At 46.0% G+C, this 24,378-nt stretch overlaps 1 protein-coding gene and 1 long non-coding RNA gene across 6 annotated transcripts in view; one reads left to right on the top strand and one right to left on the bottom strand.

Annotated features, from left to right (window-relative positions):
* Window positions 1-24,234, top strand: part of FAM171A1 (family with sequence similarity 171 member A1) — a 162,912-nt gene extending 138,678 nt beyond the window's left edge. For 3 of the 4 annotated variants that reach the window (XM_017015904.2, NM_001010924.2, XM_011519378.3), the window contains exons 6-8: window positions 14,817-14,933; window positions 19,767-19,881; window positions 21,276-24,234. In XM_017015904.2, coding sequence (XP_016871393.1) covers window positions 14,817-14,933; window positions 19,767-19,881; window positions 21,276-22,962 — 1,919 coding nt within the window. In that variant the 3' untranslated portion in view covers window positions 22,963-24,234. Of the gene's footprint in view, window positions 1-14,816; window positions 14,934-19,766; window positions 19,882-21,275 lie in introns of those variants that run through there. The other variant, XM_047424776.1, reaches the window with a different exon arrangement.
* The window catches only part of FAM171A1-AS1 (FAM171A1 antisense RNA 1), a 32,653-nt gene that overhangs the window by 5,363 nt on the left and 2,912 nt on the right, over window positions 1-24,378 (bottom strand). The gene's annotated exons all lie outside the window — the stretch shown is intronic.

Genomic DNA, 24,378 nt, shown 5'->3' with positions numbered 1-24,378 from the left:
TTCCAGGTATCCAAGGTTTCCCCAGTGAGATTCAGCGTTTCCCACTGAAGCCTGTAGATCCAGACCGCTTCTTTGAGGCCTGGGAATCATCTGCAAGGATTTTCAAATTTGGAGTTTGGGGTTTGATCATGATCTTTTACAACTTAACATGAAAATATTCTGCATCATCTGAATTCAATACAGAATTTAAAACGATCACATAATGTTATTGCCTGAGTCTGCATTTATGAACACACTGTTGGATAGAATAGGACAAATGAGAATGAACCATGGTAAATGTAATATACAAATGATACAACACCAGCATAATAAGGACAGGTGGAATTAAAGTATGTTGAGAGATGGGAAGTTTTACAGTTCAGTTTGAGAAAGGTAGTGGAAGAATTGAATCATAGTCATGCCAAGCTCGAAAGAAGCCCCACCTAGCCATGGATGTCATGTGTATGTATGTTGCAAGTGACAAGTTCAGTTCAGTAATATTGAGGCAGGAGAATTGGGTCTGAAGGTAGAGAACCTAAGGCCGACTCAGCTGACTGGATATCAGAGGTTTTTTTTTTTTTTTTTTTTTTTTTTTTGAGACAGAGTCTCGCTCTGTCTCCCAGGCTGGAGTGCAGTGGCGCAATCTCGGCCCACTGCAACCTCTGCCTCCCAGGTTCAAGCGATTCTCCTGTCTCAGCCTCCCAAGTAGCTGGTATTGTAGGCGCCTGCCCAGCTAATTTTTGTATTTTTAGTAGAGACGAGGTTTGGCCATATTGGCCAGGCCGATCTCAAACTCCTGTCCTCAGGTAATCGGCCCTCCTGGACCTCCCAAAGTGCAGAGATTACAGGCGTGAGACACCACGCCCGGCATAGGGGCTACTTTTTAACCCCTCCTTTTTCTGCCTGGCAGTTGGAAAATGAAAAGTACCTCTGATCGGCCCGGCACGGTGGCTCACGCCTGTAATCCCAGCACTCTGGGGGGCCGAGGCAGGCGGATCACGAGGTCAGGAGATCGAGACCATCCTGGCTAACACAGTGAAACCCCGTCTCTACTAAAAATACAAAAAATAAATAAAAATTAGCCGGGCGTGGTGGTGGGTGCCTGTAGTCCCAGCTACTCGGGAGGCAGAGGCAAGAGAATGGCGTGAACCCCAGAGGCAGAGCTTGCAGTGAGCCAAGATCGCGCCACTGCACTTCAGCCTGGGCGACAGAGCAAGACTCCGTCTCAAAAAAAAAAAAAGAAAAGTACATCTGATCGGTCCCCTCCTGCAGCCAATCAGACTGGTCGCTAGGCTACTTTTCCCCTCCCGTAACCAAAGAGACTGCTCATGGGCTACTAGAGTGAGCCAATACGAAACTGCTATAGGGTATTTAAACCTCAGAACATTCTGTAACCAATGTTCCCGAGCCTCTTGCTGTAGCCTCTGCCAGTCTGTGGAGTGTACTCTCGTTTAAAATAAATTTCTGCTTTGGCTGCTTTGCTTGTGCGTTTTGTCCAATTCTTTGTTCAAAACGCCAAGAACCTGGGCAGCTACCCTCAACGGGTAACAATATGTCATCAGGTACACCATTAAGTTGATGTTTTTAATTCGAAATTTATTTTGAAACTGTAGCTTTGTTTCTTGTTTCTTTCGTAAGTTTGTTTTGGTTTTATACTTTTGTATGAGCTATAATCTCTTTTATGTTAGCACTCACTTAACACATGATTTTTTAAAAGAAGATCAACACTTTGTATGTTTTTTTTTTCCTTTCGAATGTAGTTTTGTGCCTTCATCACGCCTGAAACTTCTCAAGTTCTGTAAATGTTAGGAGAGGGCCCGTCCTTGGGCAAATTACTAATGTCTCTGGACCTAATGCTTCTGGCCTCAAATATGAGATCTGTAAAATCTCCCTTCCAAGGTTGCATAAGACCTAAGTGTGATCATTTACGTAAAGCACCTAGTACACTCCAGCCATGTATCACATTTTTGATGTCGTGGTTCTTTTTTTTTTTTGGTGAGACGGAGTCTTGCTCTGTCACCAGGCTGGAGTGCAGTGGCACTATCTCAGCTCACTGCAACCTCTGACTCCCTGGTTCAAGCGATTCTCCTGCCTCAGCCTCCCGAATAGCTGGGATTATAGGCATGTGCCACCATGCCCAGCTACTTTTTGTATTTTTAGTAGAGATGGGGTTTCACCACATTGGCCACGATGGTCTCCATCTCCTGACCTCATGATCCACCCACCTCGGCCTCCCAAAGTGCTGGGATTACAGGCGTGAGCCACCACACCAGGCCATCGTGGTTCTTTTTGCCCCTTCCTTTGAATCACCCCTTTAAAATTATTTTTACGCACACACATGCACACACACACACACACACACACACACACACACACCCTGAATACACCCGGCATGTGCAGAATGTCCTTCACTAGAAGCTTCCACAGAAGTGTCTGGCTTGTCCCTGCAGTACGCCATGTACACGTATTTGTATCTGGCAGCCCAGCCATTTCCAGTATGCAGTTTGAAGTTTTCCTAAACTGAAGGGGAAGAAAAATGGGATCACAACTTAGATCCTTTAGGGAAAAAAAATGTTTTTTTGTTTTTGTTTTTGTTTTTTTTTGAGACGGAGTCTTGCTCTGTCACCCAGGCTGGAGTGTAGTGGTGTGATCTCCACTCACTGCAAGCTCCGCCTCCCGGGTTCACACCATTTTCCTGCCTCAGCCTCCTGAGTAGCTGGGACTACAGGCACCGGCCACCACGCCAAGCTAATTTTTTGTATTTTTTAGTAGAAACGGGGTTTCACCGTGTTAGCCAGGATGGTCTCGATCTCCTGACCTCGTGATCTGCCTGCCTCAGCCTCCCAAAGTGCTGGGATTACAGGCGTGAGCCACTGCCCCTGGCCTGAAAAAACAATGTTTTTATCTATTCATTCTTAGCTGAGCTTATCCATTAGAAAAACAGGTATTCCTATAAACCAACATTTTACACCATTATTCCCAAAGCAACCCTGGAGGTGGGGGACTCCCGTCTTTATCAGAAAGGAACTTTAGCTCAGTAGAGTTGAGTGTTTCCCACACTCATGGGACATCCTAGGGAAGGGGGAGACACAAAACGTGATTTCTTCAGACTCCAAATCCCCTTTCCCAGTTTATCAGATTTTTGTGGATTCCCGCTTCAATGCCAAGACTTAATGTGGCTGAATAGAATGATGGGCTGATCTGGGAATGCAGAACAACCACCTGTTTCCAGATGTATTTTGTTTGGTCCATACAGTTCGTTTGGGGATATTTGTTTGCTGTGTTTGAATTTACCGCCAACATTAAAAAATGGGAAGATTTCCCATGGAATTCTATTCCTGGCTTCACTTAGGGAAAAAAAAATCAAACAGTTCGTTCGGTCAGCAAATATTTATTGAACATCTTCTTTGTGCCAGACATGACTCTGTTGTAGGCTCTTGCGATAAAACAATGGCGAAACAAGCTGGGGAAGGGCCCTATAATTACAAAGCTGTTGTTCTAGAAGAAGGAGACCGAGAATGAGCTAGTTTATTTCAGATGGCGGAGAAACAATTAAGCAGAGTGATGGTGGAGAGAGTCATTAGCTGGTCAGAGCCTTTGGAGAAGTGACATTTGAGCTGAGATCCTAACAACACCCAGAATCCTAACGTGGGCTTATCTCGGGGACAGGACATCCCTGGCAGCAACAGTGGTCAGTGCAGAGGTCTCAAGCTTGGAACCAGCCAGGTCACTAAGCAACACATCCCTCTAGGCAAGGACACAATGGCATCTGTAGGCATTTGAAATTTTTGTTGCTGTTGTTGTTTTGACATGATCTCACTTTGTCACCTAGGCTAGAGTGTAGTGGCATGACCGTGGCTCACTGCAGCCTCAAGCCCCTGGGCTCAAGCAAACCTCCTGCCTCAGCCTCCTAAGTAGCTGGGACTACAGGCACCTGCCACCACGGCCCAGCTAATTTTTTTGTTTTTTATTTTTTGTAGAGATGTGGTCTTGCTGTGTTGCCAGGGCTGATCTTAAACTCCTAGGCACAGGAGACCCTTCCACCTAGGCTTCCCAAAGTGCTGAGATTGCTGGCATGAGCCACCACACCCAGCCATCTGTAGGCATTTGAGTGCGCTGACTCCTGGCCTATAGTCTGACAATTGACCAGATTCCTTCTTGAATATATCAGAAATATTTCAGAAGTTGCTTCAAGCACTGGCCACCTAGTGAACCCGCTACAGCCACATGGTAGGAAATGGCATTAGGGCATTTTGCGGGTGTGGCAACTCTGCCTGACAGAGTTGCCACACCCACAAAAGGGCAAATAATTTAGAGAGGCGTTGCTACTCGGAGTGAGATCTGCTGATGAACGGCACCTGCATCACCCGGAGCTCGTTAGAACCGCGTTCTCAGGGCTGTGCACGGTGGCTCACACCTGTAGTCCCAGCATTTTGAGAAGGCAAGGGGAGAAGATCACTAGAACTCAAGAGTTTGAGACCTGCTCAGGTAACATAGCAAGACCCCATCTCTATAAAAAATAAAAATTTAGCCAGGCATGGTGGCATGTGTCTGTGGTCCTAGCTACTCGGGAGGCTGAGGTGGGAAGATCACTTGAGCCAGGAGGTCGAAGCTGCAGTGAGCTGTGATTGCACCACTGCACTCCAGCCTGGGTGATAGAGAGAGAACCTGCCTCAAAAAAAAAAATAAAATAAGAATTGCCTTCTCAGGCTTTCCTCCAGACCTCTGGATCAGAACCTGCACTTAGCAAGATCTCTGTGTCAACAAGCTCTTTAGCAAGCATCCTACCACATGTCTCCAGATTTGTAATTTCTCTGTTATGAGAACGCTCAGTTATTCTCTGCAAATTATCTGTTATGCTGTCTTTCATCCTGAGGATTTTTCCAATGCAGGGGACTAATGGCTGTGCCACCCACAATCCTTGTGTGCTCCCCACCCAGTCCCTTCTGACATGTAATTGCAAGATGGGTATTGGCCTCAGTGGGTAATGAACAAAATTTCTCTCCAGATGGGGCTAATTAGCTTGTATTCTGACCTACTTTCAGGAAATGTATATATATCTATTGTAAATTCAGAAGTCTCTCATTAAATTTTATTAATGCTATTATGTATCCTAATACGTCTAGCTATCTATTTAAGGAATAAAGTTTCTATAAGTCTGCCAGTATTTTGTGGTTTCCCATAACTGCTTCTTTCCTAAAACTTGTTTCAGTAAGTCTTACGATAGCTCAGCTAAAGCTTAAAGAAAAAAAAATCAGTTGCTTAAATTTAAGAATCTTTCTCAAAAACTACCCTAAAAATACCCAGGGAATGTGTTGCAGCTGAATACAGTCATCGTGTTAATTTCTAATATTCAACACATTCATGATTTCATGCTTCAAACAGAAGGTCGTTGGTTACAATGAGTTGCCCTTAATTTTATTCTTGTTTAAACCAGTCCTGAAATGTACTTGCCTACAGCTATGAGAATCCAACCATCTGCACATAACTTTTGCTCTTCAGTTTGATTGCTTTCAACAAGAATGATTAGATAATTGACCACCGGGCAAATACTTTGCTATATAATTAACAAGGAATGTTTACTTCTGACATATTTCATGGAAAAACAATTCCAAAGAAGGAAACCTAGCTACTCAAAGCCGTAGACTTTAATTTGGAAAAAAAGAGGACTATCCCACAGTGTCATAAATGTAGAAATTGTCACTGTTTCTGCCATACTGAAGAATGTGGTTTAAGGGCTGATGGCTTTTTATTTGATTTTAATGTGATTCTATGCTGATTTTGTTAAAGTATACAATAACATAGACTTAAGTATTGATAATTCTATATATACAGTTGGTAGGAACTTATGGAGATTATTGCTTAATGCAGATGAAAGCTCTAGGAAGCAAGTCATCTGTTTTCTAGAGAAATCTAGCATATTCAGGGATCTGGAAACGCCTGATGGTGATGATGGTGATGGTGATGATGATGATGTTGGTGATGGTGGTGATGGTGATGATGGTGATGGTGGTGATGGTGATGATGGTGATGGGGGTGATGGTGATGATGGTGATGGTGGTGATGATGATGATGGTGATGGTGGTGGTGATGGTGATGATGGTGATGGTGGTGATGGTGATGATGGTGATGGTGGTGATGGTGATGATGGTGATGGGGGTGATGGTGATGATGGTGATGGTGGTGATGATGATGATGGTGATGGTGGTGATGGTGATGATGGTGATGGGGGTGACAATGGTGATGATGGTGATGGTGATGATGGTGATGGGGGTGACAATGGTGATGATGGTGATGGTGATGATGGTGATGATGATGACGTTGGTGATGGTGATGGGGGTGACAATGGTGATGATGGTGATGATGGTGAGGGGGGTGACAATGGTGATGATGGTGTTGGTGATTATGGTGATGGGGTGACAATGGTGATGATGGTGACAATGATGGTGGTGACGATGGTGATGATGGTGGTGATGACGATGATGATGATGATGAGTGTTTGCCATGGATCTGAGAGGTGCATACCTCTTAAGAAGATTATTCCTCAAACGAGCTAGTGCTCACTCCATGCTAATTATTCATCCAGAGCCATGACAGCCCAAGAAAGCTAGTGATTAGGCAGAGCCCACAGCTGAAAAATGAAACAACAGCAGGTTCCCCAATCCAAGGCCATGCCTGCACCAGCACAAGTGACCTTGCCCCCCACCCTAAATGTTCCCAAATCTCTCACAGTGTGAATGTAGCTGTAGGAGTAGAAATGGCTATGTTTCACAGTGTGGACAATCACGTCTTCATTGATAGAACTTTTGGCAATGGGATTTCTGAGTGGCTGTGGCATTTCTTTCCGAGTCCCAGCTTATAGACCTAGTAGAATTCACCGCAGCCTCTTTCTGGAAAAATACATCTATTAGAATACATTAGCTGCAAGAAGTAAAGTACCCAGCTACAAGCGCTTAAATGACGAGGCCATTTAGTGTTTACGTGACAAAGAAACATGAGGCAGGTGGCTCTAGGATTGCACCAGTGGTTCAGTGATGTCACAGGGACGTTCAGCTCCTCTTCTGTGTCATCCTCAGCATGTCCTCAGCGCACACGACTAGGAAGTGGCAGACTTGGGTATCACATTTAGGATCATGTCAATCCAGGGAAGTCATCTGTATGGTCCATTGACCCTTTATGCTGCTGGGTGTTTATCTGCCCAGTGTTCTGAGGTCTGACATGCTAACAAATCTCAGCATAGTAACAGTCACTTGGGCTGGCGCGGGGCGCACGCCTGCAACCCCAGCACCTTGGGAGGAAGAGGCAGGAGGAGGATCACTTGAGCCCAGGAGTTTGCGACCAGCCTGAGAAGCATGGTGAAACCCCATCTCTACTAAAAAATACAAAAATCAGCCAGATGTGGTGGTGCATGCCTGTAGTCCCAGCTACTCAGGAGGCTGAAGTGGGAGGATCGCTTGAGCCCAGGAACCAGAGGTTGCAGTGAGCCAAGATAGCAACACTGCACTCCAGCCTGAATGACAAAGCAAGACCCAGTCTCTTAAAAAAAAAAAAAAAAAAAAAATACTCCCACTTTGTTCTTGTACTTTGGCTAATCTCTTTCTCAAAAAGAGATTTTAAGAATCTCTTAACATGTGAGATTCAGGTCCGATCTTTTCAAAGTCAATAGTGCTTGTAATATCAGGTCTGTCTGCTTCTTACCCAATGGTGAGAAGGTAATTGGCTGCTACGGGGGAGTTTCCAGGCAGAGTAAATGTGCCAGGCAGGAAAAGCCAGGTAACTGTGATCTCCTTAGGCCATATTCAAATTAGACATTGTTTTGGGCCGTTTTTCATACTTTAGAGTTCTTTTCTCTTTTGATGGCCATTTGTTAAATCTTTGAACTCACTTTTCTTTATACTTTGCAAATAAAAGTAGATTTCATTACTGGTTGGTAACCAAGCAGGAAAGCAGCACACTTGGCGATTGCTGGGAGACAGCATCAGATCTTGCAGGACACATCTTTCCCTGCCTGTCAGTTGTTATGTGTAATAATCATTGTAGTTAAATGTAGCTTCCAAATTAAGAATGCATGATGCTTTACACCCAGTGAACCTTGCCAGCTGGATGCATTACTCATTTTCAAAAAATTAGTAAGATAGTTCAACAAATTGTTTATACTTGAAAATATCTCCGAGTCTTTCCATTGTGTAAGGTCTAACTCTAAAGAATGATACTTCAAGGTGGGCATGGTGACTGATGCCTATAATCCCAATGCTTTGGGAGGCCAAGGCAGGAGGATCACTTGGGTCCAGAAGTTCAAGACCATCCTGGGCAATATATTGAGACTGTCTCTACAAAAAATACCAAAGTTAGTTGGGCATGGTAGCACGTGCCTGTAGTCTGAGCTATTTGGGAGGCTGAGATGGGAGGATCCCTTGAGCACAGGAGGTTGAGGCTACAGTGAGCCATGATTGCACCACTGCCCTCCAGCTGGGTGACAGAACAAGACCCTGTCTCAAAAGAACAAAAAAGAAAATGACAGTTCAGACAAAAACTGACCTGAGAGTGTGGTGTGGAAGAAAACAATACTGAACTTGGATTTCAAATATCACTGTTCCGGCCGGGTGCAGTGGCTCACACCTATAATCCCTACACTTTGGGAGGCCAAGGGGGATGGATCACTTGAGGTAAGGAGTTCGAGACCAGCCTGGCCAACATGGTGAAACTCCATTTCCATTAAAAATACAAAAAATTAGCTGGTTGTGGTGGCAGGTGCCTGTAATCCCAGCTACTCAGGAGGCTGAGGCAGGAGAATCACTTGAACCCAGGAGGCAGAGGTTGCAGTGAGCTGAGATTGCACCACTGCACTCCAGCCTGGGCAAAAGAATGAGACTCTGTCTAAAAAGAAATATATGTATCACTGTTCCGTATCTGATTTTGTCCTCCTGTCCCTCACACTGCCTGTGTATCTTATTTCAGACAGAACTGTAATAAGGTTGTGTGTTTCCCAATAGCATACAGCTCCAGGTGGGAAGCTGGGGGGTGGTTGTGGTGGGGGAGCAGAGTTGATAACAGAACACTGATAACACGTTATAAGGAAGAAAGAAAAGGGAAATAAACATGAGGGTAGGGGGGAGTATTCAGCGCAAGAGCAAACAACTTATAATCCCCACCTCTGTATTCTTAAGGACATTCATATGTCAGAACCTAGCATTGTAGTTGATCATAATTATGACCCTGAGGGATGAAGAAAAGTCAAAATTGTATTCACATTCACAGAGCAGGAGGAAATGATGCTTTTTAGAATTTTTATAAATGGCCTTTTCAAGTTTTGGCAAAGAGTCAGGTTACGTAGAAGAGTAGCTCCCAGATGGTTCAGGAGGTGTCCTGGGGATGGCTGTGGTGGGGATTGGGGGGACGTCTCTTTGCCCTCATGCAGGGAAGCTTACCTTTTATCTGTTTCATGTATTAGTTTCTGCCTAAGAATCCATTAAAGAGGGGGTTCAAATGCTTTAAAAACTATGTAACAATCAATGATGTAGAAATTTCAGTAACGCAGAATTTCATCCCTTGATGATGCCAGAGAGATCACCCCGTAACCTTCACACACATGCAGTCCCGGTAACAGGCCCAGCCATAGGCGTTGATTGGAACAGAGAGGCACATGTCATTGTCCAGCCACCTCCTAAAATGCCGGCTGCACGACCAGGTTGGCGCAGCTGCAGTGGTGCGGCTTCTGCAGGAAGAAGCCTGGGTTTCTGGGGTGAGGCAGGAGGAGGCTGTAGGGTCCTGCTTGCCTTCACCACATGACCTTGCCTTGAGTCTGCAAGTCCCAGCGGCCACCTCAGCTGCTTGCTTGTGCAGAGGACACTAAGAGGCAGTGGTAAGCCCCTGGAAGAGGCTGGGAAGGGCAGAAAGAGAAGCTCAGGGTGAAGGGGGCTTGAGCAGGTAGCCCAGCTGGGCTGCTGTCACATTAGGGACTGTTGTCTGTCAGACCCCAAGGAGACAGGCTTAAGAAGGAGAGCCCTCTGGGCAGATGTCCTCACCCAGGAGCATCCCAAGGCCTCCATGCTTAGGGGCAGGTGGGCCGACTTGAGAGGCCTTGCAGTGGAGCTTTCTTTGGTTCGTGCAGCAGGAACAACCTGGTTCCTCCCTTGCTCTGTCTCAGCAGTGCCCGAGGCTCTCACCGCATGATGAAAGGGCGCCCTTCCTGGTTGCAACACCCAGCGGTCCCATATTCAGCAGAAGAGACTTTGCAGAGGCCTGTGTGCTCTGCCATCCGGTACCACCAGTAAAGAATCCTGGCCCTGGTGCCCGCTGCTCCGGTGGTGAAACTGTCTGCATCCCACAGTGGCATCAGGATTCCGCCATGAGAAGCATGTGTTTCTAGTACACAATTTGCTAATTCCCATACTCCCTGGAGCTTATTTCCTCCCACAAAACACGGAAAGCATGAAATGCTTTTGCCAGTAACAGCATGATTGTTGAATCCCCAAAGAGTGTCACGCTTTAGCCATAGTAGGCTCTTCCCCAGCTGGTTCTGTTCCCTTTAGTTTGAAAGGGCAGCATCCCAGGCATGATCAGACTGCCATGGGGATATCCTTCCCTGCCTACTGCACCCAGCCTTTCACAGGTTACCAGATATTATTTTTTGATTGCACCTGTAGCTTCCACTCATTCTGAAGGTCTCTGGAGTTCCTACTCTATGCATATCTCTAGGTGCTGAGAAGAAAACAAAAGGAACGCAAGACACAGGCCACACCCATGGAGTTTACGATCTAAGAAAGGAGATAAGACTGAGGGCCACAGGCTAGCCACGGAAGGCAACGTGTGTTTTTGGCAAATGGGTGATGCAGTAACACTTGCCCAGGATGTGCCAAGACACGGAAGACCCATGTGTCCTAGAAAGGCCTCTGGAAAAACACTGGGCTTGATTTGAATCTTGAAAGACTGGGTAGATTTTTGGAAGAGAGAAAAACTATATGAGGTTGGAGCTACATTTGCAGGCAAAGTCACAGAATGGGTAGAGGTGTGCATTGTGAAGACTGCCTGGCAGGAACTAAAGAGGGGGTTGGGGACTGTATTAGTCTGTTTTCACGCTGCTGATAAAGACATACCTGAGACTGGGAAATTTATAAAGAAAAAGAGGTTTAATAGACTCACAGTTCCACATGGCTGGGGAGGCCTCACAATCATGGCAGAAGGCAAAAGGCACATCTTACATGGTGGCAGGCAAGAGAGAAAACTTGTAAAGGGAAACTCCCCCTTATAAAACCATTAGATCTCCTGAGACTTATTCACTATCACAAGAACAGCACAGGAAAGACCTGCCGCCATGATTCAGTTATCTCCCACCAGGTGCCTCCCACAACACACAGGAATTGTGGGAGCTACAATTCAAGATGAGATCTGGGTGGGGACATAGCCAAACCCTATCAGGGGTAGAAGAGAGGAAGGAAGTGGGAGAAGCTCCAACCATGTGTGCCTCCGTTTCCAGGTCCCCCATGTCCTCCTGCAGCAAATGGGGTGTGAAGATCGTCCCAGAAGGATGCCTAACTCCTTTCCAGCCCGGGCACAGCTGCTCCGTCCTGTTCACCCGGGGCCTCTGTGCTCCCATCCCCACTTCCATCTTCACATGTCATCCAGGCCCACCACACCAGGCCTTTGTACACACTGATCCCTGGGTAGAATGTCCTCCTTCTCTTTCTCCTGGCTCCCGCCCTGCCCCATCTCTCCCCATCACTGACAACCCCTGCCTGTTCATCAAAACTAAACTCATCCCAATCCTTCTACACCCACCCCAGGTGGGTGTTTCCTAGCTGACCCTCCAAGCAGCTATGTCTTCTTCAGCCAATGGACTTTCTGGCCTCCACCAGCACCACTGCTGGACTGCAGGCCCTCCAGAGTGAACTTGGGGACTCATTAGTCTGGTGGGGTCTATATATGTGGTCACCCACTAGGCTTGTCCCAAATGTAATGTGGAGGGGTTTTTTTTGTTTTGTTTTGTTTTATTTTTAATTGAGATAGAATCTTGCTCTGTCGCCCAGGCTGGAGTGCAGTGGCTCAATCTCAGCTCACCGCAACCTCCGCCTCACAGGTTCAAGTGATTCTCCTGCCTCAGCCACCCCAGTTGCTGGAATTACAGATGGGAGCCACCACACCCAGCTAATTTTCATAGTTTTAGTAGAGACGGGGTTTTGCTGTGTTGCTCAGACTGGTCTCAAACTCCTGACCTCAAGTGATCCACCAGCCTCAGCCTCCCAAAGTGCTGGGATTACAGGCATGAGCCACCACCCCCAGCCAATGTGGAGCTATTTTTTAAAGTCTGTTTCAATTGGTTATCGTGTGTTTTAGAAGGGAAAGGCAACTTAGGGAGAAAGGCAGGAGAAAGGCAGGTGTGCATTCATGAATGAGCAGGACTTACTCTGCTTCCAGCTCTCACCCTCTGGGTCCCGTTTAGCCTAACCCAGAATCTGCTGTTTGACAAGCAGTGACTCAACAATCTAATGTGGGGAAAACAGCAAACCAAAGAATGCACAGCCCTTTCCTGGCTGATGCAGAGAGGCTGAGAGCATCACTGTAGTGGGCCAGCTTTGGGGAGGGGATACGACGTGTAAGTCATGAGCTGAACGGGTGCCAAGCCTGGAGCGGGAGTAGGAGCAGTCGCAAACATTCTCTACCTTTGAGGAAGCTTTCTTACCATCAGAGAAAACCTTTTTCTTACTTTTTAAAATTATTTTTTGTAGAGATGGCATCTCACTCTGTTGCCCAGGCTGGTCTCGAACTCCTGGCTTCAAGTGATCCTCCCACCTTGACCTCCCAAAGTGCTGGGACTATAGGCGTGAGCCACCATGCCCAGCCCTTTTTCCTCAATATGTCAAACATCTTACGTTGTCGCTCCCCTTGTACAATAGTCCTGTAGAACAGGGTGATTTCTAGGAGGGTGCGCTTCAGGAAATGGACCAGAACCGGGCATCCCTGCCCTCATACCCATTTGCAAAACCTTGCTTACAGTCTGCTCTTTCTGGAGCCCAAACCCTTTGGTGCAGTGATCCAGCCTGTGGCGTGGGAAGGGGGAGATGCCGAGCCCTCGCTGGTGCCCGACTTGTCCCACGTGCCCACTGTGTGCCGCTGCCATGTGAGCAGAGGAGCGGCTGCCAGGGGAGGCATCACCAAGGGCATCTTTCCACCCACTGCATTTGAATGTTGCTATGGCAACTGATAAGGCCTCGAAGCAACCCAAGTGTTGTTTCTTTCTTCAGGGGGAATAAAAATCCATTACCACCACCTCTGCATGAGGCGTGTAGCTAAGCAAGGCAAGCATTTGGGTAGAATACAGGCATGAGTCACAGGATGATGATTGGGTCAACGATGAACTACATGTACAATGATGATCCCATAAGACTATAATTCTGTATTTTTACTGTACCTTTTCTATGTTTAGATACACAGATACTTCCCATTGTGTGACGGTGGCCTATGGTATTCAGCGCAGTCACACGATGTACGGGTTTGTAGCCTAGGAGCAATGGGTTAGACCGTGTGGCCCAGGTGTGTAGGAGGCAGTACCATCTAGGTTTGCATAAGGACGCTCTATGATGTTTGCACAGCGATGAACAATGCATTTTCAGAATGTATCCCTGTTAAATGATGCATGCCTGCATTTGGTGCACAGCTGGTCTATTTAGGCCTTAGAGCCACAGGGTCGCCCACGTAGCCATTTCAGGTGAGGATGATTATAGGAGAGAGGTGAGCTGCACAGGAGGCCTGTGTATGCCGGGACATCTCCATGCTGATAGGTCGGAGTGGGTGCGCGGGCTGTCTAGAGGTTCGCCCAGCCTCTCCCTGGCCTTCTGCCCACAGCTGCCATCGCAGGCCTCAGAGCAAGGCTCTCTGCAGGTGAGCCCAGGAAAAGGCATCCATTTTTGGCTGGGAAATAGCCCAACAACCTTGGGCAAGTTCATCCTCTTCAATGAGTTTGCTCCTAGAAACTTCACAAAGTAAAAATGCAATCAAATGCTGGGAAGGTTTCTAGGAAATGCAGCCTGGCAGAGCAGAAGAAATAGCACAGCCTTGAGGTCAGGCAGCCCCAGGTTCTATTCCCACTCTGCTCTCAGCCACCGAGAGGCCTTGGAAAAGTTTTGTAACTCCCCAGTCTTCATTGTTGTGGTGAGAATTATAGATGGTGTATTATAAGACACGTATGCTGTGAATAGCTAGTGCATAGCAGGTGCTTGTTACTTTCAAATGCTAGCTAAAGTAATAACTGGAAGATACAGCAGGGACCTTGATGTATTTGGTGTTTCCCAGCATTGGAACAAACTGGAAGCTTTTAAAAATGCTCACTGAAGCCAGGGTTACTGGATGAGAGTTTGCAAAGATGGGATGAAGGGATCTATTTTTTCAAAACACCCCTAGGTAATTCTGATATAGCCAGTCTGCAGCTCTGGATAGAAAATTTGCTCAAGGACAAAGAGCTTGAATAGAGCCGGATTTCCCCCTCTCTTTTCACTCCCACCAGCCCCCATCATGCTGCCTGTATTCTGCTTCTGAGTTCCAAAGGCTTCTGCTAAAATCATCTGTGTTTGGAAGGAGGGTTGTTTGATAAAGTGGCTGAAAGTAATTTAATTGAGAAGGCAAAGGAACACTAAAGTTGCTTATCTTTCCCTGAAAGGAAATTGAAAAGAATTTCTCCAGAAAGCTGCCTGGGGTCCCTAGATGACACTTTGGCCATCTTGGTTATCTTATAGGTCATAAACATGACATTTAAGATATTTAAGATGACTTTTACAATATGCTCAAGCCTTACAAAGGAGCGTGGTGTGCTTGTAGCTAACATCTCTTTCTCAATTCCACAGGAACGTGGCTGAAGAGCGGTCTGGGTCTTGTGCACCAGGAAGGCAGCCAGCTGACGTGGACATACATTGCCCCCCAGTTGGGGTACTGGGTGGCCGCCATGTCCCCTCCCATCCCAGGTAACACGGAGCCAACACTTGCGATGATGCGGATCAGTTGCTTTGGTCTTTGAGGGTTCAGGCTAAGTATGCTCTTGAAAATAACTTCAGCAGGGCGATCACATCTTATTCAAAAATGGTTAAAAGTCTGAAAATGAGATGATGTAAAGAAGGTATTTTGCGGGGGTGGGGGACTTCTGGTTGGAAATCTTCCATCTAGGGTAAGAATAATGCATAGAAAATAGTCTTGAGTGGCTGTTTTGTTCAGACAGCTGCCATAGGGAATTCTTCATCAAAAGCCCACAGAGACCAGCAAGACCTCCTCCCTAATTCCTGAAACAGCTGTGGCCTGGTATAGGCACACATGTAGGGAAAAGCACTCCACAGAGATGCTAGTGGGAAGTCACCACTGGGGGCAAAAAGCCTGGTGGGGCATTTCCAAAATGGCTTAAACGTAAACCAGTTGCTTTGTATCTACGAGAATCTTCCCCTCCATTTAGGATATGTGCATTAATGCATATCTTTCAGAACGTGACCAATAGTTTATTTTTTTTAACCTATGTTACCCCCAAAAATATTCTAGAATTGTTGAGTTTTGTTTTGTTTTGTTTTGTTTTCAAAATGGTCATCTCAGGAGAATTATTTCCAGTGATAGCTTCTGTTGCTCAAGCTGCCTTTAGAATCTATATTACTTGGACTGCCTTCTGCCTTCATTAGTAAATCTCTTTCTTGGTGGCAAATCTTTATGCTCAAATGGCAAATCTTTATGATTTTTCTTTTTAAAGACATCTAAAAGTCATGCACATTCAAGACTGGTGAATAAAGTAGGTGACTTAGCTAGGTCGAAATGTGCTGTGATTAAAAGGTGTCTCTTGTAAATGAACCATGAAGGCAGTTCTAAAATGCAAGTTCAAATATTTTAGCAATGGAATTATCACTGGAATTAGCACTTAGACTCACAAAGTAACTGATTTGATGGAGGTCTTTCCTAAACAGGTGTGGAAAAATGTGTTACAATGACTTTATATCACCATACTAAGAAAATTTACACTTCACATCTGTTTTAAGAGTAATGTGTTTCCCTTAGCCGGGCGCGGTGGCTCACGCCTGTAATCCCAGCACTTTGGGAAGCCGAGGAGGGCGGATCACGAGGTCAGGAGATCAAGACCATCCTGGCTAACATGGTGAAACCCCGTCTCTACTCAAAATACAAAAATTAGCTGGGCGTGGTGGCACACGCCTGTAGTCCCAGCTACTTGGGAGGCTGAGGCAGGAGAATCGCTTGAACCCAGGAGGCAGAGGTTGCAGTGAGCCGAGATTGTGCCACTGCACTCCAGCCTGGGCGACAGAGCGAGACACCCTCTCAAAAAAAGAAAAAAAAGATTAATGTGTTTCCCTTGATGCTATTGTTTTTGTAGTGATATAAGCATGAACCACACGTAGAAATGCCCCATTCTCTGAATCTGAAATACCTAGATTATGACTGAAGAGAAACAAAGGAAGGAAAAGAATTGTCTTAAGCACTAAAATAAATGCCATAAAGCCCACGCATTAAAATGAACTTTAATTTTAGATGTATTTCAATCTCAGCTATTAGTTTTCCCATCATGCAGTAGATCAGTACATGCTTTTTGTGTGTGTGTGTTTTGGTTTTGTTGTTGTTGTTGTTCGTTTGTTTTTTTGAGACAGAGTTTTGTTCTTGTTGCCCAGGCTGGAGTACCATGGCATGATCTCAGCTCATGGCCACCTCCGCCTCCTGGGTTCAAGCAATTATCCTGCCTCAGACTCCAGAGTAGCTGAGATTACAGGTCTCCGCCGCCACACCTGGCTAATTTTTGTATTTTAGTGGAGACAGGGTTTCACCATGTTAGTCAGGCTGGTCTTGAACTTCTGACCTCCGGTGATCCCCCCGCCTCAGCCTCCCAAAGTGCTGAAATTACAGGCATGAGCCACTGCGCCTGTCCAGTATATGCTTTTGTAAGGCAGCATGAAGGAACTGCCAGACGTAGCTCCCCTGAGAGCTTCCTAGCAGTGAAGGAAGAGACTCAAGGCTATAAAAAGCATACACAGGCCAGGGCATGGTAGCTCACACCTGTAATCCCAGCACTTTGGGAGGCAAGGCAGGATGATCTCTTGAGCCCAGGAGTTCAAGACCAGCCTGGGCAACACAGCAAGACCCCACTTCTAAAAAAATTTTTTTTAATTAGCCAGTGATGGTAGCATTCACCTGTAATCCCGGTTACTTGAGAGGTTGAGGCAGGAGGATCCCGTGAGCTCAGGAGTTCAAGGCTGCAGTGAGCTATGATCATGTCACTGCACTCCAGCGTAGGTGACAGAGTGAGACCCCATCTCAAAAATAACACAAAGCATACCCACTACAGCCTCTGATGGTATTTAATGTAGGGATACATATGTCAGTCATCTCACAACCCACCTTTATTACAAAAAATTATACTAATATTGGGCTTTCATGAACTCAAAAGCAACAACAAAATAATTTGGGTTATGTTCCTTAACTCCTTGAAGTGAAGTATAGCTGTGAATTTTATAAAGAATCGTACTGGCAGAGATTAAAACAATAATGCTGGCCAGGCACGGTGGTTCATGCCTGTAATCCCAGGACTTTGGGAGGCCAAAGTGGGCGAATCATGAGGTCAGGAGATCAAGACCATCCTGGCTAACACGTTGAAACCCTGTCTCTACTAAAAATACAAAAAATTTGCCAGGCACAGTAGCACACACCTGTAGTCCCAGGTACTCAGGAGGCTGAGGCAGGAGAATTATCCGAACCTGGGAGGCAGAGGTTGCAGTGAGCCCAGATCGTGCCACTGCACTCCAGCCTGAATGATAGAGTGAGACTCCATCTCAAAACAAAACAAAACAAAACAATAATGCTTTGAGTACTTAAAGGACGAAGCATCAGTATTTGGAAATACTTTTATGTGTACCCTAAGTTTCTTGGTGACTCCTGACAAAGCTTTGCTACATCCGTGGGAATTGTCTATTGTCTTTGCATGAAAAAATTGTTTCTCTGGGCCGGGTGCGGTGGCTCATGCCTGTAATCCCAGCACTTTAGGAGGACGAGGCAGGTGGATGATGAGGTCAGGAGTTCAAGACCAGCCTGGCCAAGATGGTGAAACCCCATCTCTACTTAAAAAAATTAGCCAGGCATGGTGGCGGGCGCCTATAATCCCAGCTACTCAGGAGGCTGAGGCAGGAGAATCACTTAAACCCAGGAGGCAGAGGTTACAATGAGCTGAGATCACACCACTGCACTCTAGCCTGGGTGACAGAGCAAAGACTCCGTCTCAAAAAAAAAAAAAAATTGTTTCTCTGAACAAGTAAGCCAGTATCTAATTGTCAGTTATTTTTCCAATTTTTGTAAACTTTAACCCCCTCCTCGCACTCCATTGAAGTAATTATATCTGAAAGAGAATGGTGTTTCTTGTGAATTTAAGTAACATCACTGTTTTCAAAAACTGGTAAATCTTGGGTTTATCTAGGTCTTAAATTAGGAGATTTGTCCCCTTAAGAAGATTTTTTAAAAAGTCTATGTCTTAGAATGTCAAAAATCAAAAATAAGCAAATGGGTGTCTGTGGTGTTTAATAATCATAGCCATGCTACCCTGAAATAATATGAGGCCAGTTCATTTCGACCCATGTATTCATACACTGCCAGGAAACTCGGACACCAATAAATACCTAAATATTGGAATGTTGGGAGGTTTTTGTTGTCGCTGATCTGTTGTTAGTAACATTAAGATAGATTTGTACTACTACGGAACATAAAATGTGAGTTAAGCTACCTCTTGGGATTTTTTACAACATAAACTTAAAATATTTTTATCTTTGATAACCTTATGTATAAGTTCTAAAGAGATCTCTGGCCACGTAAGGTTAGCTATTTTGAAAAGCCATTGTAGAGAAAGATCTTGTTTTTAAAGATGGATATCATTTTAGTCATATTTGATACCTGTATTAAGTGTTAAAAGTTGCTGACTTTTTTAAGTCACAGGAAATGTATGTCATACATTTAAACTGATTCATTTGGGCTAGGGGCTCTCCAGACGGTAATGATTGACTGCCCGGGAAAAGCGAAAATAAAACTTTGTAGGGTTTTTTTTTTTTTTTTCACTGCAATATAAAATTCCCAGATAGGCCATCTTTCTGAAGGTGAGAGTCCCAGTCATTATATCGTCATGCGTTCATTTTCTTGTATGAAAAGATCATATGGCTGGGCACAGTGGCTCATGCCTATAATCCCAGCACTTTGGTAGGCCGAGGCAGTGGATTGCTCGAACTCAGGAGTTCAAGACCCACCTAGGCAACATAGTGAGAACATTGCCTCTAAAAAAAATTTATAAAAATTAGCCAGGTGTGGTGGTGCGTGCCTGTAGTCCCAGCTATGCTGGAGGCTGAGGCAGGAGGATTGATGCAGCCCAGGAGGTCAAGGCTACAGTAAGCCATGATTGTATCACTGCGCTCCAGCCTGGGTGACAGAATGAGACCCTGTCTCAAAAAAAAAAAAAATTAAAAAGATCATGTATTTCAAATGCGGCACATGCTACCAAGTGAGGCGCACTTCTCCGCTTAGGAGGGGCCCTTGACGTAACCACATCTTGTCTTTGAGTATTCAAAGTTCTCCTGGCTGTGGGAGCTTCCATAATAGTCATGCTAATCACTAATGCAATGCTGGTGGTACCCCAAGTGCATGATCCAAGGGCGTTTTCCTCTGGCCACTGCTCTATGCCCCAGCTAAGAAGAGTAAGCACAAGACACTGCGTTCTCAATGAATGATCCCTCTTTTGAGTTAAAGGTGTTCAAAACTCTAAATGCCATTTTCTGACCTTCTAGGTCCCGTTGTAACACAGGACATTACCACGTATCACACGGTGTTTCTTTTGGCCATTTTAGGAGGAATGGCTTTCATACTTTTGGTTTTGCTGTGTCTCCTTTTATATTATTGCAGGTAAAGTGTTACCATTTTGGCAATATCTTTTTTAATTCACAGTTTCTTGGGCAATTGATACTTAGAAGCATTAATATGGAGGTGGGTTTTTTTTTTAATTTTTCTAAATTGAAGTACTTTTTCTTCCCATGAAAAAGTAAGAACTCACATTTGTGATCTAAGTTGCAACTTAACAAATAGTATGTGTAAAGCATGCTGCGTGGATAACATTGCTTAGAAGGGGAGTTATGAAAAAGAGTTTAACAATAGTCATCTGATTTATTCAGAGTATTCCTGAACGCTGATTAAGAGATGATACTCTGAAGGGCAAAGCAGAACTCTTCTTATTTGGGCCAGGGACGTTGGCTCACACCTGTAATCCCAGCACTTTAGGAGGCCGAGGTGGGCGGATCACTTGAGGTCAGAAGTTCGAGACCAGCCTAGCCAACGTGGTGAAACTCCGTTTCTACCAAAAATACAAAAATTAGCTGGGCATGGTGGCACACGCCTATAATCCCAGCTACTTGGGAGGCTGAGGCAGGAGAATTGCTTGGACCCAGAAGGTGGAGGTTGCAGTGAGCCAAGATTGCACCACTGTACTCCAGCCTGGGCAACAGAGCAAGACTCCATCTCAAAAAAAAAAATTATTCTTATTTAGATGCCGTGTCTGTTTAGTTTGCAAGAATATTTATTGTCAACTCTTGAGTAACCCCTTTGAAATAAGTAACTTGGCTTATAAAAGCCTTTAAGTTTAGCTGTTTTAAAAAGGCATTATAGAGGAAAAATTTTATTTTTAAAAATGCAAAGCATTTTAGTCACGTTTGAGACTCTTTAATAAGTTGTTGACTTTTTTAAGTCATAGAAAAATGAATGTCATACATTTAATTCATTTAGGCAAAGGGCTCTCCAGACAGTAAAAGATGAAATCTCTCGATTATCCTACTCTAATAAGGATAAAATAAGGATAAGGGCCAGGCATGGAGGCCTAGCACTTTGGGAGGCTGAAGGGGGAGGATTGCTTGAGGCCAGGAGTTTAAGACCAGCCTGGGCAACACAGGCCATCTCTACAAAAAAACTAAAAGTCAAAAATTAGCTGGGCATGGTGGCATGTGCCTGCGGTGCCAGCTGCTCGGGAGGCTGAGGTGGGAGGATCACTTGAGCCCATGAGGTCAAGCCTGCAGTGAGCTATGATCATAGCACTGCACTCCAACGTGGGCGACAGAGCAAGCAAGATGCTGTCTCAAAAAAAAAAAAAAAAGACAGGGCGTGGGGTGAGAAGGCTTTTGGCTGCTCCTGACTTGTTTTGTTTTGTCTCTCCCCATGGAAATTGAGAATTAGGATTTTACCTGAAACTTGAAACTTTTTCATTGTGAGAATCACTAATCTTTGGCTTTGGATTGTGTCTTTGGGCGCAGGAGGAAGTGCTTGAAACCTCGTCAGCACCACAGAAAACTGCAGCTCCCTGCAGGACTGGAGAGTTCCAAAAGAGACCAGTCCACGTCCATGTCACACATTAACTTGCTGTTTTCACGCCGAGCGTCAGAATTCCCTGGCCCGCTGTCCGTCACCAGCCACGGCCGCCCCGAGGCCCCCGGCACGAAGGAACTGATGAGTGGAGTCCATTTGGAAATGATGTCTCCGGGCGGCGAAGGGGACCTGCACACCCCCATGCTCAAGCTCTCCTACAGCACCTCCCAGGAATTTAGCTCCCGGGAGGAGCTCCTCTCTTGCAAGGAAGAGGATAAAAGCCAGATCTCCTTTGATAACCTCACTCCAAGTGGGACGCTGGGGAAAGACTACCATAAGTCAGTGGAGGTTTTTCCCTTAAAGGCAAGAAAATCTATGGAAAGAGAAGGCTACGAGTCCTCGGGCAATGATGACTACAGGGGTAGTTACAACACCGTGCTCTCACAGCCTTTATTTGAAAAGCAGGACAGAGAAGGTCCAGCCTCCACGGGAAGCAAACTCACCATTCAGGAACATCTGTACCCCGCGCCTTCATCACCTGAGAAAGAACAGCTGCTGGACCGCAGACCCACTGAATGTATGATGTCGCGATCAGTAGATCACCTCGAGAGACCTACGTCCTTCCCACGGCCCGGCCAGTTAATCTGCTGCAGTTCTGTCGACCAGGTCAATGACAGCGTTTACAGGAAAGTACTGCCTGCCTTGGTCATCCCGGCTCATTATATGAAACTCCCCGGGGACCACTCCTATGTCAGCCAGCCCCTCGTCGTCCCGGCTGATCAGCAGCTTGAGATAGAAAGACTACAGGCTGAGCTGTCCAATCCCCATGCCGGGATCTTCCCACACCCGTCCTCACAGATCCAGCCCCAGCCCCTGTCTTCCCAGGCCATCTCTCAGCAGCACCTGCAGGATGCGGGCACCCGGGAGTGGAGCCCTCAGAACGCATCCATGTCGGAGTCTCTCTCCATCCCAGCTTCCCTGAACGACGCGGCTTTGGCTCAGATGAACAGTGAGGTGCAGCTCCTGACTGAAAAGGCCCTGATGGAGCTTGGGGGTGGGAAGCCGCTTCCGCACCCCCGGGCGTGGTTCGTCTCCTTGGATGGCAGGTCCAACGCTCACGTTAGACATTCATACATTGATCTCCAAAGAGCTGGAAGGAACGGAAGTAATGATGCCAGTTTGGACTCTGGCGTAGATATGAATGAACCAAAATCAGCCCGGAAGGGAAGGGGAGATGCTTTGTCTCTGCAGCAGAACTACCCGCCCGTCCAAGAGCACCAGCAGAAAGAGCCTCGAGCCCCAGACAGCACGGCCTACACGCAGCTCGTGTACCTGGATGACGTGGAACAGAGTGGTAGCGAATGTGGGACCACGGTCTGTACCCCCGAGGACAGTGCCCTGCGATGCTTGTTGGAGGGGTCGAGTCGGAGAAGTGGTGGCCAGCTGCCCAGCCTGCAGGAGGAGACGACCAGACGGACTGCGGATGCCCCCTCGGAGCCAGCAGCCAGCCCCCACCAGAGAAGATCTGCCCACGAGGAAGAGGAAGACGATGATGATGATGACCAAGGAGAAGACAAGAAAAGCCCCTGGCAGAAACGGGAGGAGAGGCCCCTGATGGCGTTTAACATTAAATGAGCTATCGCAGACCCACCTGACTGTGGAATATAAAATTGCCAAATATCCTTTCTCATGGAAGCGCGTACCCGTTCGTGGAGGAAACGGAACGGCAGCCCAGCCGTGGGACGGACGTGGACGTTTACTGCATTCCTGTTTGCCGTGTAAATGTTAGAAAGGAATTAAAGTTATTACTCGGAATAAAGGATGACTTTGGCGGATGTCGCCCCTGCAAGGAGGTGGCTGAAAGTGGTGTCCAGATGTCCTTCCGAGGACTCGGCGTATCCGCCACCAGGGACATTAAGAAACCGCACGTGATGTCGCTATGCTCTAACGATCACCTCAGTTCTCCCTCGGATTCTGGGAACAGATGAAACTTTTTGCATCGCTTGAGTCATTTTTATCACAATAATCCTACTGTGAAGCTGTCGTTGAGAACTTAGGTTGGCACGTAGCGTCTCAAGGTATGCGTTCTCTCAAAGGAAAGCTATGCATCGCTGCTTCGTTGTCTGATTTTGCTTAGATTTTGCTTTGGTTAGGTTGCGTTTTGGGGTTTGCCTTTTTTTGTTGTCGCTTAAATGCAATTTGGTTGTAAAGATTTGATTCCTTTGTGTTCATCTGTTCCGCTTCTCAGCGGTCCATCTCAGCGTCTCCCTTCAGGAACCGCTGAGTGTCCTCTCTTAACATCCAAGCCTTTTAATGAAATCGTACTGAAATCTGTATCAGCTAAGAGTCCTCCAATCCTGGTCCCATTAACTCCAAGTGCCTTTTTGACAGTGACAACAGACAGTCCCTCGCTTTTTGTTGTTGTTGGTTTTCTTAACCCCTTTAATGGAACTGCCTGGATTTTATACAGTTATTAAAGGATGTCTCTTTTGCTTTAAACTGCATGCTGCCAAGTGCCATTTGGGGTCAGCATCCTCGTTTCAACACAGTGTGCTCTCTAGTTATCATGTGTAACGTGGGTTCTGTTTAGCGAAGATAGACTAGAGGACACGTTAGAGATGCCCTTCCCTGCTCCATCCCTGTGGCACCATTATGGTTTTTTGGCTGTTTGTATATACGGTTACGTATTAACTCTGGAATCCTATGGGCTCATCTTGCTCACCCAATGTGGGAGTCTGGTTTGAGCAAGCGAGCTGAATGTGACTATTAAAAAAAATTTAAAAAAAAAAAAGAAAATCTTATGTACTATCCAAAAGTGCCAGAATGACTCTTCTGTGCATTCTTCTTAAAGAGCTGCTTGGTTATCCAAAAATGAAAATTCAAAATAAACTCTGAAGAAAAGGAAAACTGTCTTTGTGGTCATTTGAATTCATTCTGAGTCATTATCTGTTTCAAAGTTGTTATTAAGACTTTGTCAGGCCAAGCATGGTGACTCACACCTGTAATCCCAGCACTTTGGGAGGCCAAAGGAGGAGGATCACTTGAGCTCAG

The sequence above is a fragment of the Homo sapiens genome, chromosome 10 (genome assembly GCF_000001405.40).
Source record: "Homo sapiens chromosome 10, GRCh38.p14 Primary Assembly".
Taxonomy (NCBI): Eukaryota; Metazoa; Chordata; class Mammalia; order Primates; family Hominidae; genus Homo; species Homo sapiens.
This window is presented reverse-complemented; position numbering and strand designations above follow the sequence as displayed.